This window comes from Homo sapiens, chromosome Y (genome assembly GCF_000001405.40).
Source record: "Homo sapiens chromosome Y, GRCh38.p14 Primary Assembly".
NCBI classification, from domain to species: Eukaryota; Metazoa; Chordata; class Mammalia; order Primates; family Hominidae; genus Homo; species Homo sapiens.
Window position 1 is genome coordinate 18,912,173 of NC_000024.10, and position 19,583 is coordinate 18,931,755.

Genomic DNA, 19,583 nt, shown 5'->3' on the forward strand with positions numbered 1-19,583 from the left:
GAGCTTCCCATGTGTGTGAGTTCTCCCTGCATTCTTGCTGTCATTCTCTCTGTGATTTCTCCCTGTCATTCTGTAGAGATGACTTGGAGTATGTAGGTAAATACTGCTCATGCGGTAAGTTTGCATTACAGCTGAGGAACTTGAAGCTTAAGATATTTCCCTCTTTCGTGAGAGACTGCAAGCAAAATCGCCTACCACTTTCCTCTGGATGAGATGTTATCTTTATGATACTGAACACTTCTCCCCAGTAGATAGTCTTCCAACTGTGTTGGGAGATTCTTCCAACTATTTTGTTGTATTTCAAACATCTCTGAAAAACATTCAGAATAAAAGTTGTTGGTTCTCCTCAGGCAAGAATTCTATCTCACGAGAGACAGTGTTTACTACTAAAGCCACTTTGACTTGATTGTTTTAGACAAACTACCTGAGATGAAAGCAATTTTTAAAAATCATACAAAGTTAGGAAGAAATAACACATTAGCAATATTTGCAGTTAATAGGAATGCAAAACTGAGGAAAATATTGAATTGAACTTCTTCCTTAGACAATGGTGTTATGCAGGAATTCCGCAGGATAAATAAATGAATACATAAAAATTAAAAGCAAATTATACACACAAGCACACACACAATTTAGAAAAAAAAAGAAATAAACTACTGCAGCAAATATAAACTAAGGATGGAATTATAATTGTCCTAGGATCTCAGGAGTGAACTTATTGGAGAACACACAAAAACTTTATAAAGAATACAGTTGAGGGTTCACTTAGGCACAGATTTTTTTTTCAACCGATTGCAGATTAAAAATACATTATTCATGAGATAGGAAACCTGAGTGTACTGAGGTCCAATTTACATGTGTTCTGCAGGGCATGTTTTGGGACTTGAGTATGCATGATACTGGTGTAAGCAGGAGTCCTGGAGTCTATCTCTTTCATATTCTGAGGGTGATTATAATTCCAGTGCTACAAAGGAGGATACAGTCTACGTGGATTAAGAGAAACAAGCACTATCTTCTTGCCCAAGTTATCAATATTAGATATCAATTATCTCCAAGTTAAACTATAAGTGAATTCAATTCTACTTTTAAGATATCACTTTTTAGAAGGAAAAAAGTCAGATGTAGTAACTATTTTACAGAAAACTAAACTGGGGAGAATAGAATATTCTAAAGCAAATGGGTAATGCATGGAATTTTTCCTACCATATAATTTATGCTAGTGCTTTATTTATACCTTAGACAAATATGCAGCTCAGAGCAGAAACTGGGGACTCCAAATGCCTTTGTACAACTCTTGCAATATCTCTTACTAGACTCAAGACATACAGCAAATTCCTTAGCATCATTTTGTGTTTTCTCACCTTTTCAATTGTGACACTAAATCACTAATATTGTCAGTCTTTGTATAAATAGAAGAGGATTCATATGCAAAAGAAGGTAGTTAAAATATTGTCCTGTATGTAGTATGCATATAGCCACGAATGTGTAGGGGGTACCTAAATGTTAGCCATGGTGACATTATTGTTGGCATAATTGGAAACTGAGTAATGAGTTGGGATTAGTATATGAAGAGTTGAATAAATACTTGGAACAAATTAGTGCATCCAGGAACAGATCCCAAAATATAAAACAAGTTAGTATATGATGTAGGCGTCCATCGAATTTGAAAATTTGTAATTGCAAGTTTCCACCTTGAGGAATTCATTTCCTCTGGATTAAATATTTCAAGGTTAAAAGAAGCAGCAGAAAAAAGCTTGAAATTACTTTGCTTAAATGATCTCAGAGTGGTAAATATGATTTTAGCACTGAAATCACCTATTGTTAAAAGGTTGATATGTTGGGCTACATTTTAGTAGATTGCAAGTACTATCAATAAAAACAAAGTATACATGAAAACATTAAATATTAATGTATTTAATGTATAAAATGAATATAATATATATTTTAATATACAAATATATAAAGAATATAGAAAAAAGATAATATACATTAATCCGTTATTCACAAAAATACTATTTAATTTATAAAAAAGCTATTACTCATCACATTAGGAGAAAGGTCAATTAAAATTTAAACATTCACTTTCTGGATTGGAAAAGAGGATGTTTCGTAACACACAGCAAATTAATGAGTGGATGGAGAAACTCTCTCATAAATAGGTGATGAAAATATAGACCATTGTAACATCACTGAGGAATTTTGCCATACCTATCATGATGAAAAATGCACATATAGTTTGATTCAGGAGTTTCAGTTTTAGGAATAGGTTTAATCAGGAATGTGTAACATATTAGCATCTGGCTTTTCTCAGGGTGGTTCCTAGAAGCTCCACCCACCACCTTCCACTCATGTCTCATTGGTTAGGAAGAGGTCTAGATGGGCATGCTACTTTCTGGGAATTCTGACCAGGTAAATATTTTTATCTGGACACACTGCCTTTCTAAGCAAAATTGCTATTACATAATGATTTATTTTTATTTTCAATTTTATTGGGAAGCCTCCAAAACCAGAAAAGTTGCAGAGAGAATCTCCATAGTGGTTTCTTATATAGATATGTAAAAAGATTAAACAGCAAGATAGTAGACATTGTACAAATGAGTGTGTGTGTGTATATGCATTTGTGTACATATGTGGTGTTTTCTTGTGTGTTGTTTAAAAGGACAAAAAGATTAAACAGAAAGATAGTGAACATGTACAAATAAATGTTTGTATTTGTATTTGTGTATGTGTTTGTGTGTGTGTGTATGTATATTTTGGAAGTACAAAAAACTTGGTAATAATATTTTACTCTCATGAATAAGAGTGGAAGAAGCATATTTCATTTTATATATTGAATTTCATTGAAATTTTTACCATGTATTTATCATCTTTTAAAAATATACTCTTAAGAATATTACATTGCTATCCCCTTCAAGCTACCATTGACTTTCTTCACAGAATTAGAAAAAAAATTACTTTCAATTTCATATGGAAGCAAAAAAGAGCCCACATAGCCAACACAATCCTAACTGAAAAGAACAAAGGTGGAGGCATCACACTACCTGACTTCAAACTATACTACAAGTCTACAGTAACCAAAACAGCATGGTACTGGTACCAAAACAGAGATATAAACCAATGGAACAGAACAGGGACCTCAGAAATACCACCACACACCTGCAACCATCTGATCTTTGACAAACCTGAGACAAACAAGCAATGGGAAAGGATTCCCTATTTAATAAATGGTGTAGGGAAAACTGGCTAGCTATATGCAGAAAACTGAAACTGGACTCCTTCTTTACATCTTATACTAAAATTAACTTAAGATGGATTAAAGATATAAATGTAAGACCTAAAACCATAAAAGCCCTAGAAGAAAACCTAGTCAATACCATTCAGGACATAGGCATGGGCAAAGATTTCATGATTCCAAAAGCAATGGCAACAAAAGCCAAAATTGACAAATTGGATCTAATTAAACTAAAGAGATTTGGCACAGCAAAAGAAGCTATAATCAGAGTGAACAGGCAACCTACAGAAGGGGAGAAAATTTTTGCAATCTATCCACCTACAAACGGTTAATATCCAGAATCTACAAAAAAATTAAACAAATATACAATTAGAAAAAGCCCTATCAAAAAGTGGGCATGGGACATGAGCAGACACTTCTCAAAAGAAGACACATGTGCAGCCAACAAACATATTTAAAAAAGCTTATCATCACTGGTCATTACAGAAATGCAAATCAAACCTACAATGAGATACCATCTAATGCCAGTTATACTGGTAACCATTAAAAAGTCAGAAAACAACAGATGCTGGAGAAGATATGGAGAAACAGGAATGCCTTTACTCTGCTGGCAGGAGTGTAAATTCGTTCAAACACTGTGGAAGATAGTGTGGTGATTCCTCAAAGATATAGAACTAGAAATACCATTTGACCCTGTAATCTGGGTATATAACCAAAAGATTATAGATCATTCTACTATAAAGACACGTGCACACGTATGTTTATTGTGGCACTGCTCACAATAGCAAAGACTTGGAACCAACCCAAATGGCCATCAATGATAGACTGGACAAAGAAAATGTGGCACATACACATGATGGAACCTCTAAGTCGGGAGTTTGAGATCAGCCTGACCAACATGGAGAAACCCCATCTCCACTAAAATAAATAAATAAATAAATAAATAAATAAATAAATAAATACAAAATTAGCCGGGTGTGGTGGTGCATGCCTGTAGTCCTAGCTACTTGGGAGGCTGAGGCAGGAGAATCACTTGAACCTGGGAGGCAGAAGTTGCAGTGAGCCGAGATTGCGCCATTGCACTTCAGTCTGGGCAACAAGCGTGAAACTCCATCTCCAAAAAAAAAAAATAATGGATGAGTTCATGTCTTTTGTGGGGACGTGGGATGAAGCTGAAAACAGTCATTCTCAGCAAACTAGCATAAGAACAGAAAACCAAACACTGCATATTCTTATTCATAAGTGGGAGTTGAAGAATGAGAAAACATGGACACAGGGAGGGGAACATCACATGCTGGGGCCTGTTGGGGGTGTGGGGGGCTAGGGGAGGGATAGCATTAGGAGAAATATCTAATGTAGATGACAGGTTGATGGGTGCAGCAAGCCACCATGGCAAGTGTATACCAATGTAACAAACCTACACGTTCTGCATATGTACCCCAGAACTAGTATAATAAAAAAAAGAATACTACATATGACATATTAGTAATACTAATCATACATATTGAATATATTGATACATATATATGTATCTACATACTACTTATATGGATATATACCTATTACATGTGTGCTAAAATATTCTGTATTATACAATATATACACATATATACCATATGTTTTAGGTAAAGCATGTATATACATTATATAAACAAACTATATATACACATTATATATACACAAAAATAAACTTAGAAGTTTATTTTTGGCTTACCACACATATATATACATACACACCATATATATGTATGTACATGTATATACACACACACCATATGTATGTACATATATATACACACACCATATATATGTATGTATACATATATGTAAACCATATATGCATATACCATACAGATACCATATATGTACATATATACCCATATATATGTATACATATATATGTATATACCATATATATATATAAACACACACACACACACCATATATGTATGTATTGTAAGCCAAAAATGAACTTCTAAGTCCTGCTCCAGGCATCTGAGTGGACCCCTCCTCTTGGATAAGGACATTCTATAGTTAATCTGAAGATCTAGTTCAGGCCATGATGGATGAGGGGGTCAGACTTGCCTCATTCTACCTCTCCAGAATTAAACTTAACACAGACCTTAAGTCTGATGGAAAATTTTTACAATCTGTTCTCCCTGAAGCCTGCCACCTGAAGGCTTCATCTGCATGATAAAAACTGGGTCTCCACAACCCTTTATCTTAAGGCAGATACTCCTTTCTATGGATAGTAGGTTGGTGCAGAAGTAATTGCTGTTTTTTGCCATGGAAAATAAAATGCAATTACTTTTGGGCCAACCTAATAATAACTCTTTCAACCAATTGCCAATCAGAAAAATTTTAAATCTACCTAAGACCTGCAAGTCCCCCACCTTCCTACTTCCAATTGTCCTGCCCTTCCCAATCAAGCCAATGTAAATCTTATGCATGTATTGACTGATGTATTATGTCTCCCTAAAATGTATAAAAGCAAACTGTACCCAACTACCTTGGACACATATCATTATGACTTCCTGAGTCTGTGTCACAGTGTGTCCTTAACCTTAGCAAAATTAGTTAATTTTGCCTAAATTAATTGAGACCTGTCTCAGATATTTTGGGTTCACAGAGTACATTTTAAATACATACATCAATGTACATACATAGTTCATTATACTTAATTTTATATTGATAAGGTATTATGAAAGACTCAGGGAGTTAATATTTGAGAAGACACTTGGTAAAATGCACTCAAAATATACAAACCTAAATAATTCACTCACTGAGACAATTTACATTTGTTTCACTTCAAAACTTGCTTCAAACACCAATTAAATAAAATTCAGTATGTCTCAAAGTTTAAACTAAAAACAAGATCAACAAAATTTTCTCACACATCAACTTTATCCAGACAAAGCCATTAGAATTTATCTGAGAGGAAAAGCATTTTAATTTTTGTATAATAAACATTAAAAGCTCTCCCAAGCTGAAATGCCTTAAATCAAGTTGTACTTATTAATCAGAGTATTGATTTAAATGTTGATGCTGCATCACTTCTATGCTGTCTCATCTTCAGTTTTTATAATATTTTCATATTTATGTTTTTTGGGGGGTGTATCTGACTTTATCTTCAAATCAAAGCAGAAACTAGAAGTAAAACCTGATAGGTTTTTACCATGGTAGATACAGTAGAAATGTCCACAGAGTGTTTCAGATTTGTATGCATGGAAATTAGTCCTCAATGGTGAAATTGAAGGGGTCAAAGATCATTTTGGTAGCAATATTTGTGACAAAATGCCTTCACTCTATATGAATTCTCTAAAACATTATTTAAATGTGAAGCATCAGTAAGGTCCTGCACCCGTAGAGAATTCAACAGGCAGAGAGATTATGCATCTATTGTATCTTCATTTTCCGTCTGGGAAAACTCATGGCACTAATGAGCTCTAGACATACAAAGATCAACAGGATGTTGTTTGGGTGCTAGCCTGTCATAACCACAAAGTAGGGGGAAATTAGCTGGGTAGAATGAGTAACAGCATCAGATTAAGGTTCCAACCAAATTTTAGCCATACAAACTTAAGTACATTTATCTCCCTGACCCTTACTTTTCTTGCCTTTGAAGTGAGAGGAATAATTCTGCACTGAGCTATGTCTTCACAAGGATTAAGCAAGAAATTGATTGACGAGCATCTATACTCATGTCTGATGCATGATGTGGAGACTACAAGAAAATTATCCTTTTCCCTAAAACACAAATGCTAAAATAAAAGGTGTAGAAGAAGGAAGAAGGAAGATAATGTACATAATATTTTGTGGGGAGGAGGCAGAAGAACTGATGAGAGATTATTTGAATCTTAGAAAATCCTAGGAAAAGAATCATAGACAAAAAGATGGCACTGGTGTTGGGGCAGAGGAACAGGTCACGCTAATCGAGCAAATCTTAAAGACTTGGGGTAGATGGAGAAATGATGATTAAGACAGATGTGTTCACATGGTGGATCATGCCTGTAATCCTAGCACTTTTGGAAGCCAAGGTGTGTGGATTACTTGAGGTCAGCCTGGCCAACATGGTGAAACCCTATCTCTACTAAAAATAGAAAAATTTCCTTGGTATGGTAGCATGCACCTTTAATCCAAGATACTCAGGAAGCTGAGGCAGGACAATCACTCGAACCTGGGCGGTGGAGGTTACAGTGAGCTGAGATTATGCCACTACATTCCAGCCTGGGTGACAAGAGCAAAACTCGGCTGGAAAAAAAAGAAAAAAGAAAGAAAGATGTAGGCTAACAAGGCATTCTGCAACTCAATTTTAAAGAACTTTCTAAGTGAAGAGCAAACAGTGCTATGCCATGGGAGCTGGTTAAGGAAAACTTAAAGCATGGGCTTTGCTTTGGAGTTTTCAAATAAAGAGAACTCCTGGAGACATGCTGAATGTTGAGTGATGATATTGAATTTGGAGAAAAGAAAGTCAATTATACCAATTTATTCCTTTGTAAGGAATTGGTTTGTCTCCCTCAAAAAATATGTTGAATTCCTCACCTGTAATATTTGTGAATGTGACCTCATTTTGAAATAGAGTCTTTGCAGATATCATTAAGAAGTAAGTTAAGATGAGGTCATAGTGCAGTAGTGTGTGACCTTAATCCTGTATAACTGGTGTCTTTATAAGAAGAGATGGCTTGGCAAGGTGGCTCATCCCTGTATTTTGGGAGGCCAGAGCAAGAGAATTGCTTGAGTTCACAAGTTAGAGAACAGCCTGAGCAACACAGGAGAACCTGCCTCTACAAAAAATACAAAATTAGCCAGGTGTGGTGATGTGCACCTGTAGTCCCAGCTATTCAGGAGGCTGAGGTGGGAGGATTACTTGAGCCCAGGAGGCAGAAGTTGCAGTGAGCCAGCATGGCACCCCACACTCCAGCCTAAGTGACAGAGAGAGACCCTTCCTCAAAAAAGAAAGAAAGAAAAGGAAGGAAGGAAGGAAGGAAGGAAGGAAGGAAACAAAAAAAGAAAGAAAGAGAGAGAGAGAAAGAAAGAAAGAGGGAGGGAGGGAAGAAGGGAAGGAAGGAAGGAAAGAAGGAAGGAAGGAAAAGAAAGAAAGAGAGAAAGAGAGAAAAAGAAAGAGAAGAAAGGAAGGAAGGAGACAAAGAAAGAAGGAAAGAGAAGAGAGGGAGGGAGAGAAGGAAGGAAGGAAGGAAGGAGGGAGGGAAGGAGGGAAGGAAAAGAAAGAGAACAGAAGACACAGAGACCAATACACATAAGGAGGAGAAGACAACACCACACAGTCATGATCCAGGCAAAGGTTGCAATTATGTGTCCACAACCCAAGGATTACCAGAAACCAGCAGAGTTGGAAGAGTCAAGAAAGTATTCTCTGATAGAGCTTTCAGAGACAATGCAGACCTGCTAACTCCTTGACTTTTGGTCTCTTGAATCGTGAGAAGATAAATTTATCTTGCCTGAAGCAACAAGTTTGTGGAACATTGTTTCTGTAGCTCTAAAACTGATACAGATTTTAATATTATTTAATGCTAAACAAATGGAATGGACAGAAGGAACATCATCAGGTGGGAACAGAGAACAAGGGATGGTTGTAATAAGTAATCAGATATTAGGATCTGTCTGGGCACAGTGGCTCATGCCTGTATCCCAGGAGGCCTCAGATCACTTGATCTGATCAGGGCAGGAGTTTGGGACCAGTTTGGGCAACAGAATGAAACCCCATCTCTACAAAAAAATAAAACATTAGCCAAGTGTGGTGTCATACACCTCTAGTCCCAGCTACTCAGGAGGCTGAGTTGGGAAGATTGCTCAACTCTGGAAGGTTGAGGCTACAGTGAGCCATGAGTGTGACACTGTACTGTAGCTTTGGTGGGCAGAGTGAGACTCTGTCTCAAAGAAAAAAAAAGTTAGAATCTGATTCAGAGAAAACAAAAAAGGGCAAGGCTGATTCTGAAGTCTCTCCCTACTACTGCATTCTAGCTTGGGTGGGCTGAGTGACACTCTGTCTCAAAGAAAAAAAATGTTAGAATCTGATTCAGAGAAGATAAAAAAGGGCAAAGCTGATGCTGAAGTCTCTCCCTACAAGGACTGGGCAAGTAATGCTAACTTTAATCAATTGATGAATACTCCAGGAAGAGAACTTTTGGGGAACTAATGAGTTAATTGTTCATCATATATTTGAGCTGTCTGCTGGGAAATTAGGAGGAAATATCTACACATAGAGAGAGAGAGAAATCAAAGAACCCTGAGATGAAGCAGGCAAAATGCTGCCTAGCAGAATCCAAGCTACTAAACAAAGATAGAAGGCACTTTCGTGAGAACAGGTGGCCAACACTTCCAAATGCATGCTTCAGTGTTGGGGAGATCTACCTCTGATAAGCAGACCAGGAGAGGCCCATTTAAAGTCATCATTCTGGTAAGAACCAGAGTCAAGAAGGGAATTTAGATTTTTCTCACTCATCATTCACATTTTGATGTCAGTTGAAACCTAAATTGACTGCAAGTGCAGAACTGTACAAGATGATAAAATTTCTAACAAAGAAGAGTTTTAGAAATTGCTGTAGCTCTTAGAGTCCATCATGCCATCATACAAGGTCAAACACATCTGAGGATAGGTACTTCCTCTTATAATAAAAATTTTAGATTCTCCTCCCTCATACATTCTAAGGAGGTTTTCCCAGAAGTCTGCACATTCTTTGACAGAAAGAGAGAAGAAGAATGGCCACTTATTACCTGCAATTTGCCCAGTACTGTTAGGTGCCCCATTAAATCATCTATCAGTGCTAGGTACAGTTTTCCACATGAGGAAGCAGGTGATGGGATTTTTCAAGGTCATGCAAGTTGTGGCTCACTCATGCTGTCTTTGAAACCAAGCCTGAGCCCTTTCTGTTTTCGCCATGCTGCCCTCTTGGCTGACATCTAGTGCTTTGGTGCATATTCTAGATAACCATCAAGGTAATGTTGCATATCAGGGCTTTCTTTGACATTATTATGGTATACCTCCCTGCCCCTTGGGATACATATATATATATATATATATATGTATATATATATATATATGTGTGTGTGTGTATATATATGTGTATATATATATGTGTGTGTGTATATATATATGTGTGTGTGTGTGTATATATATATATATATATTTTTTTTTTTTAGATGGAGTCTCTCTCTGCCGCCAAGGCTGGAGTGCAGTGGCACGATCTCTGCTCACTGCAAGCTCCGCCTCCCAGGTTCACACCATTCTCCTGCCTGAGCCTCCCCAGTAGCTGGGACTACAGGTGACCATCACCATGCCCGGCTAATTTTTTTGTATTTTCAGTAGAGGCAGGATTTCACCGTGTTAGCCAGATGGCCTTGATCTCCTGACTTCATGATCCTCCTGCCTCGGTCTCCAAAAGTACTGGGATTACAGGCATGAGCCACCGTACCCTGCCACCCCTTTGGATATTTTTCAGAGGAGCAAGGAACATGTGCCCTTTCCTGCTTTATCTAACAACTTAGCATAATGAGTAAATTCTCTGCTTTTGTTTTGTTTTGTTTTGTTTTTGACAACTGCCCAACTCCATTAGAACTCTGCTTGTGTTTCAGGGTTTGATATTGTTTTCTAAGGTATCCTTTGAGTTTGATGAGTCTCGAATTACTCTCCAAAGGATTCATGCTCCTTGTTTTCTTGTGAGTGCCAGAAATAATATAAACCAGACAACATATATAATTCATGAGCACTGTTTCACCTCACAGTTATTTCTGGCTCCCAGTGTCTGTCTGTAAATAGTGTATTAAGAGCAAGCACTGTTTCCTTTTTTTCTTTATATTATGGTAGAATGATAAAAATAATGAACTGACTATTCAGCCTTAGAGGTTCTTGCCAGAATGTAATGTGTCTATATCTAATACTTTTTAAAACAGGTGTGAAGAGGTTTTGTGGTTTGGCAGAGCGAATCCCAGCTCTATTTTTGTGTGTTTTCTTGTCTTTATTGAAATGGAAAGGGTGGATGTTTTGCACACCGCTCTGGAGGTGGCATTCTGCTTGTGTGGCAGTTGATTGAATAAGTTATTTCAAAGACCATCATGGCTTCCTCAGCATCTTCTATTATTGGATAATAACCACAGCTCCTACAAACTGCCACCACTAATGACCTGTTCTTTATGATAGCTTAGTTTGCACCACAGTGGAGGTATTTATTTTCCCCATTAGGAACTTCAGTGTTTAGCAGTAAAATTGGCAGGAAAACCATTGGTTGGCATACAAAGCCTGCAGGTTGCTATTCTAATGACTTTCTGTTCAAATACACATTCCAATTGCAAGGAGAATGTGGAGATGCAGTACAGGCAAAGATGAACAGCCAAGGATCTGAAAGGCTGCCAGTGTTCCATATATTACATAACACAGCCTTCCCTACATGTTAGAGTCTACTCCCTCTGTTTCTGATGATGCATCTGACTCTTCATAAAACTCTTGTCATCCCAGAGTGAGACTCCGTCTCAAAAAAAAAAAAAAAAAAAAAAAACACCTCTCATCATCCTGAGTTTGTTATATTGCTAAGGCATATTATGCATTTGAAGAGCTTTAATTTTGAGGTCTTCTCTGTTTCAGGTTTGAAGGAAATATTTCTTCCTGCCAGGTCCAAACAATTAAATCATAGTTTGTTGGACTGAACATAAGATTTCAGAGATGTGGTCTGACTCTGACTCACATGAGTCTCTTTTATTCAGAAGCATTTAATATCTGTACACTCTCGGGCACTAAGCCAAGCAACAAGGGAACATATAAATGAGTCCGAGTTATTTTACTGAAAAAGTTTTTAGATTACTGCTGAGTGAAAAACCATGTAAGTCCTCTTAAAAAAAAAAAAAAAAAAAAAAAACAAGGATAGAGCTAAATGAAAAATAAATACTGGGTCCAAAGGGGTAGAAAGAGATCAGATATTTTGTCACATAGGCTGAGTTGGGAAGACTTTGAAGTAAGAGATAACATTTGAAGTGGGACTTCAATAATTTTGAAGTTGGACCAGCACAAAAGGGAACTTTCTGGTAGTAATAATTTACAAAGCTACAGAAAAGGATTGGGTTCTTTAGGAGCCTGGAGGAAAACTGGAGTGATGGAACATCCCAGCATGAACATCAAGAAAAGCAAGAAAACTTAAGACCCTAATGTTGGTCAGGCAGCAGAACCTGTTGGCTTTTGTGTGTATAACATGTGACAGTGTTTCAACTTTCTCCTCCAGGCAGTAATGGGCTGGCCTGAGGAAGGGTGTGCTTGCAGCAGACAGGATGATTCAAATGCAGAGGTGATATTTTTTAGGGTGTGACACTCTTTAAGTATTGATGTCATCTTGATCAATTGCAATGGTAAAGAAAAAGAGGGAATCTAAATTAGGGAAACTATAAAACAAGAATCCATGGAATTTGGAGTCCAAATAAACATAAGTATGGAATGAGGACAGAGTCTCTGCTGAGGTTTTAGCTTGGACTCCAAAATGGGTTAAGAAAACTATTACAAATATAAATCTCTGAAGGAACAGACAGCTTTTGGGAAGAGGAGGGAGATACCTGTTGCTTTAGAAATGTTAATCAGACCCAATCCCATTTTCAGGTATATATCGAAAGGAATATAAATCCTTCTGCCATAAAGATAATGTATACATATGTTCACTGCAGCATGATTCACAATAGCAAAAACATGTAATCAAACTAGATGCCCATCAACAGTGAACTGGATAAAGAAAATGTGGTACGTATACACATATATACTACACAGCTATAAACAAAAGTGAGATCCTGTCCATCAGAGCAACATGTTTGGAGCTGGAGGCCATTATCCTAAGTGAAGTAACACAGGAACAGAAAACCAAACACTATATATTGTCACTTATACATTGAGTATAACATTGAGCTAAGCATTGAGTACATATGAATTCAAGAAGGAAACGAGAGACACTGTGGCCTATTTGAGGGTGGAGGAAGGGAGGAGCGAGAAAATGGAAAATCTACCTATCTGGTACTATGCTTATTACATGGTTGACAAAATTATCTGTACCCTAGATCCCACAACGCATCTGTATAAAAAACCTGCACATGGACCACTGAACCTAAATTAAAAGTACAAAAAAAAAAAAAAGAAATGTTAATTTGAGACGGTTTTAATCATTTGAGTAGAGTTCAAATTTTGGTCTGGAACTCAAAGGAGAAAAGGCAGATGGGATCAGAGAAAGTGAATGCTGAGCTAACTAGAGGGTTAGTTTCTCAGGGCTGCTGTAATAAATTGCAGTAAACAACTGAGGAGCTCCAAATCAAGGTGACTTTAGGGCCATGCTCCAGTGGAAGGCTCTAGGGGAGGATGCTTTTTTGCAACTTTCATTTTCTAGTGGCTCCTGGTGTTCCTTGGCATGTGGCTCCATCAGTCCTATCTCTGTCTCCATTTTTCCATGTTCTTCTTTCTCTTGTCTCTGTGTCCTCCTCCCTCTCTCTCTCTCTCTTTTATCATGAAACTAGTCATTGGATTTAGGGCCCATGAGTTTATACCAAGATCTTAATCAATTACATCTGCAAAGACCCTATTTCCAAATAGGGTCACATTCTGAAGCTTCCAGAGTACATGAAGTTTAGGAGTGCACTCTTCAATCCAGAATAGCTACAGACAGATGAAGCTGAAGTAATGAGGGCTGATAATGTTGACCAGAGACAAAAATAGTGTTAATGAAGGACTGAGACACAAAAGATAGCCTAGAGAATATAATTGATGGGAAGACCAATGGAAGTAAACTTCAAAGAAGACAGAAGTCTCTCTCAAGTGCTAAGAGGAAACCAGGAGAGATTACAAACTCATGGCAATACAATTCTTTCAAATCCAATTAGGGTGAATTCTCAGAGGTTATTGCCTCAAGGAGGGGAAATAATAAATGAACACTTCAGAGTCCTACAGGACTGGAAAATAACTTGAGAGAAGCTCTGTTCATCAGTACATTTGCAGTGCTTTTAGAGTTGTCAGGGAAACCTCATCAATATCAGTCAAAGCAGCATTTATAAATTCGCCAACATGTCTCATCAAAAACAAGACAGACAGAAGGATGAATGCAGTCAAGTGTTGTTTTTTATTTCTTTAAATTTTGTTCAGATTTAAATGCAATTTTTTTTTGAGACAGGGTCTTGCTCTGTTGCCTAGCCTGGATTGCACGGTGTGATCATAGTTGAATGCAGCCATGACTTCTTGGAGTCAAACAATCCTACCATGTCTGTTGGGAGCAAGCCCTCCAAAATCTGGCCATAAACTGCCCCGAAAACTGGCCATAAACAAAATCTCTGCAGCACTGTAACATGTTCATAATGGCCCTAATGCCCACGCTAGAAGGTTGTGGGTTTACCGGAATGAGGGCAAGGAACACCTGGCCTGCCCAGGGCAGAAAACGTCTTAAAGGCATTCTTAAGCCACAAACAATAGCATGAGCGATCTGTGCCTTGAGGACATGCTCTTGTTGCAGTTAACTAGCCCAACCGATTCCTTTAATTTGGCCCATCCCTTTGTTTCCCATAAGGGATATTTTAGTTGATTTAATATCTATAGAAACAATGCTAATGACTGGTTTGCTGTTAATAAATATGTGGGTAAATCTCTGTTTAGGGCTTTCAGCTCTGAAGGCTGTGAGACCCCTGATTTCCCATTTCATACCTCTATATTTCTGTGTGTGTGTCTTTAATTCCTCTAGCGCCACTGGGTTAGGGTCTCCCCGACTGAGCTGGTCTCAGCAATGTCAGCCTCCAAAGTACCTGGAATTATAAGCACATACCACCATGCCTAATATTTTCAAATTTTTTATAAAGATAGCATCTTGCTTTGGTATTCAGGCTGGTCTTGAACTCCTGAGTTCAAGCAATACTCTTGCCTCAGCCTCTTAAACTGTTGGGATTATAGGCATGAGCAGCCACACCCAGCCTTGAATGCATTCTTTAAATAAAGATGACTGGGTTGGTGTTAAGTGTGCAATCAAAGATGTTTTATAACTAGCAGAAACTATTGCAGAAGAGTTAACTTCTGTTTCCTTATAAATAGTCATCTGGCAACACCTTAAATGTAAGTTCTGAGACTCTACAAAATAACTGAAGTCAGCCTCCCTCACCACTTGCTTCAGAATATATTGGAGAATATATTTGCTCACCACTTGCTTCAGAATATATTGGAAAATATATTTGCAGAAAAGGAAAAAACGGAAAACAACAGCGATAATATTGTGCTTGGCTTCACTTGCCAACATGGGAAGAGTAACAATAACAACCCTTTGATTTTCTTCTTTAATTGAGGAGTAGGTTTATGGACCTATAAGTTCACACACCCAATTTAGATTACTCATGTTCTTGACAAGGCCAATTTTAGTAATTGAAATTATATGAAATGTAGCTTTCAGTGTGTTGTTTCTACATTGGATCCATGTGTTTTTGAAGCAGGCAGCAATAGCAATTGCTATTACATTTGTTAAGTGGCAACTACAATTTCACAATACAATCTTCAGAATCCAAATTCCAAATGCATTTCATAAAGGCATTAGCCATGTTGCCCTATCTTTGTATTCAAACAATTTTATTTCATTATGTGAAGCTATTGTTGGATGTTATCATATTGTTTTATTTGGTACTGAGGAGACAAAACACTGATGAAACAGGAAACATTTAAATATGCTTTCAATTTATCTCTGTGTTTGCCCGACCCAGTGGCTCATTCCTTTAATCCCAGCACTTTGGGAGGCAGAGGCAGGTGATCACCTGAGGTGAGGAGTTTGAGAACAACCTGGCTAACACAGTGAAACCCCATTTCTACTATAAATACAAAACTTTGCTGGGCCTGGTGGCGCATGCCTGTAATCCCAGCTACTTGGGAAGCTGAGGCATGAGAATCACTTGAACCTAAGAGGCAGAAGCTGCAGTGACCCAAGATGACACCATCGCACTCCAGCCCAGGTGACAGAGGAGGCTCTGTAAAGTAAATAAATAAATAATAAATTACCTCTTTGTTACAAGAAATCTGCTGAAAGTAAGGTTAATGTAAAAAGTCTAAGATAAATGGCTGTTTCAACACAATATGAATGTGAACCAAATTGCAAGAAGTGCCATCTTTCACCATGAGCAGGGCTGTCAACTCTGTTTAATAAGCATTAATAAATTCAATTTATATTATAATCTACTGAGAAGATACTATTATGCCAGTGTTAAAGACAGTGGCACTTTAACTTAGAGTGTTTAAATAACTTTTCCAGGACAACTTAACTAGCAAGGGTACACTCCAGGTCTAGAAACTTTCCCTTTCTAACTCTGAACTCCATGTGTTTAACCACTCAACTATGTCACATACCTGGACAACCATAATGTCTAATTAGTTGCTAAACAAACTGCATTAGGAAACTGAGGGATAAAGACAGATTCTGTAGAAGCAGAAGTGAACCATGGTCAGAAGACAGCCACAATAAAACTGGATTGGAATATAAATATCTAGGCCAGATGTGGTGACTCATGACTGTAATCCCAGCACATTGGCAGGCCGAGATGGGTGGATCACAAGGTCAGGAGCTCAAGACCATCCTGGCCAACATGGTGAAAGCCCGTCTCTACTAAAAATAAAAAAATTAGCCAGGTGTGGTGGTGGGTGCCTGTAATCCCAGGTACTCGGGAGGCTGAGGCAGAGAATTGCTTGAACCTTGGAGGCAGAGATTGCAGTGAGCCGAGATTGCACTACTGCACTCCAGCCTGGGTGACAGAATGAGACTCAGTCTCAAAAAAAAAAAAAAAATAATAATAATATAAATATCTCTGTTGCTGCATTTCATTTGTGTTGGGAAGGTCTCATAACCAGGTATAATTTTCCATATGCTTATCCATGTCTTAAGTGGTTTAGAAATTCAGAATGTTTTTCCTCACACTGACAATTTTAATGAAATTATATATGTCTTCAAAAGTTATTTCAGAAAATGGAGAAGAAACACTCAGAGACTTATTTTATGTCAATGTAATTTTAATATGAACTCCTGACAAAAATTCTACAAAGAGTAAATTATAGCATGATAATTTCTTACTAGAGTGGATACAAAAAATACTAAAGATAAAATCTCCACATACAGTAAGAATAAAAAAATTATTTATTTATGTATTTATGTATTTATTTATTTTTTATGGACAGAATCTCACTCTGTTGCCTAAGCCAGAGTGCAGTGACGTGATCATAGCTCACTGTAGCTTTCAACTCCTGGGCTCAAGCAGTCCTCCAGCCTCAGCCTCCTGAGTGGCTGGGACTACAGGCATACACCACCACACCCAGCAAATTTTTTAAATTTTTGTAGAGTCAGGGTCTCACCATATTGCCCAGGCTGGTCTTAAACTCCTAGGCTCAAGTTATTCTCCTGCCACAACCTCCCGAAGTATTGGAATTACAGGTGTGAGCCCATAATCTGGCCTGGAATTTCTTGATTTTGATCAGTGACATCTAATATAAAAACATACAGCTAACATTCTGCTTTATAGTGAAATATGGAACACTGTCTTTTTTGAGATTGGGAGCTAAGCATTGATATGCACTATCACCTCATTTCCTCAAGATTGTACTGGAAGTCCCAGCCACTGCAGTGTTCCAAGAAAGACAGATATATTTCATATAGATTTTAAAACAATGAGTGAAATTGTCTATATCCAAAGACAATATGCTTTTCAAATGCAGAAATTCCTAATGAACATTCAAATCAATAGTAGAACCATTAAATGAACTTTGCAAGGTTGCAATTTACAAAGGTGATATAAATAAATCAATTTTTCTACATACTAGCAGCTAGCCATTATAAATAAAACTAAAAAATTCATTCCTTTTAGTATAAAAACAAACAGTAAATGTTTAGAATTTTTTTCTTTCTTTTCTTTTTCTTTTTTTTTTTTTTTTTTGAGACAGAGCCATGCTCTTTTGCCTAGGCTGGAGTGCAATGGCACAACCTCAGCTCACTGCAATCTTCACCTCCTGGGCTCAAGCAATTCTCCTGCCTCAGCCTCTTGAGTAGTTGGGATTACAGGCATGCACCACCGTGCTCAGATAATTTTTGTATTTTTAGTAGATACGGGCTTTCATCATGTTGCCCAGGCTGGCCTTGAACTCCTGACCTCAGGTGATGCACACACTTCAGCTCCCAAAGTGCTGGGCATGAGCCACCATGACTGGCCAGAATATTTAAAAGAAAAAAAAATTATCCAAGATCTCACCACTGAAATCCACATAGCACGATTTTAAGAAAAGAAGAACGCTGAATTAAAAAGGATGAGTTCATGTCCTTTACAGTGACATGGATGAAGCTGGAGATCATCATTCTAAGTAAACTATCACAAGGACAGAAAACCAAACACCGCATATTCTCACTCATAGGTGGGAGCTGAACAATGAGAACACATGGTCACAGGGCGAGGAACATCACACACCAGGGCCTGTTGGGAGGTGGGGAGCTAGGGAGGGATAGCATTAGGAGAAATACCTAATGTAAATGACGAGTTGATGAGTGCAGCAGACCAACATGGCACATGTATACCTATGTAACAAACCTGCACGTTGTGCACATGTACCCTTTAACTTAAAGTATAATAATAAAAAAAAGAAAATAAGAAGACTGAGATAAATTGGAATATATACCACGTGCATGGATTAAACGACTTAATGTTGTTAAATACAAAACCTTCTCAAATTGGTTGATATATTTAATGCAAATTTTCTCATTATACTGATAGGATTTTTAAGCAGAAATGGAGAAGTGTTATCTAAGTATTATCTGGAAATGTGAAGGACCAAGAAGAGACACATGATATTGAAAAAGAACTGTATATACAGGAGGTTGTGTAATCCCAGAATTTACTGTAAACATCAGGAATTCAGAGGTCCTGTTATTATTATACATAGAGGCAAATTAGCAATGCATAAAGAGGACATACACTGACCCTCATTTATATAGCATGTTGCTTTTTGGCAAGAATGCTAAAGGAATTAAATGGGAAAAGAAAGTCTAATAAATAGAGATAAAATAACTCAGTATTCACATAAAACATGGAGTTCTAAAACTTAGAACTATTTTTTAAGAAACCTATAAAAATTAGTAAGCTCCGAGTATTATTATTATTACTATTATTATTATTTTTTGGAGACTGAGTCTTGCTCTGTTGCTCAGGCTAGAGTGCAGTGATGCGTTCTCGGCTCACTGCAATCTCCACCTCCTGCATTCAAGCAATTCTCCTGCCTCAGCATCCCAAGAAGTTGGGATTACAGGTGCATGCCACCACACCCTTGATATGGGTTTTCACCATGTTGGCCAGGCTAGTTTCAAACTCCTGACCTCAA

General features: G+C 37.5%; 1 long non-coding RNA gene across 5 annotated transcripts in view; it reads right to left on the reverse strand.

Moving 5' to 3' along the window:
• The window catches only part of TTTY14 (testis expressed transcript, Y-linked 14), a 205,047-nt gene that overhangs the window by 39,672 nt on the left and 145,792 nt on the right, over positions 1 to 19,583 (reverse strand). Inside the window, exon 3 of one of the 5 annotated variants that reach the window (NR_125736.1) lies at positions 196 to 310. The exons of the other annotated variants lie outside the window; for them this stretch is intronic. This is a non-coding gene — a long non-coding RNA (testis expressed transcript, Y-linked 14). The remainder of the gene's footprint in view (positions 1 to 195; positions 311 to 19,583) is intronic. 5 annotated transcript variants of the gene reach the window in all.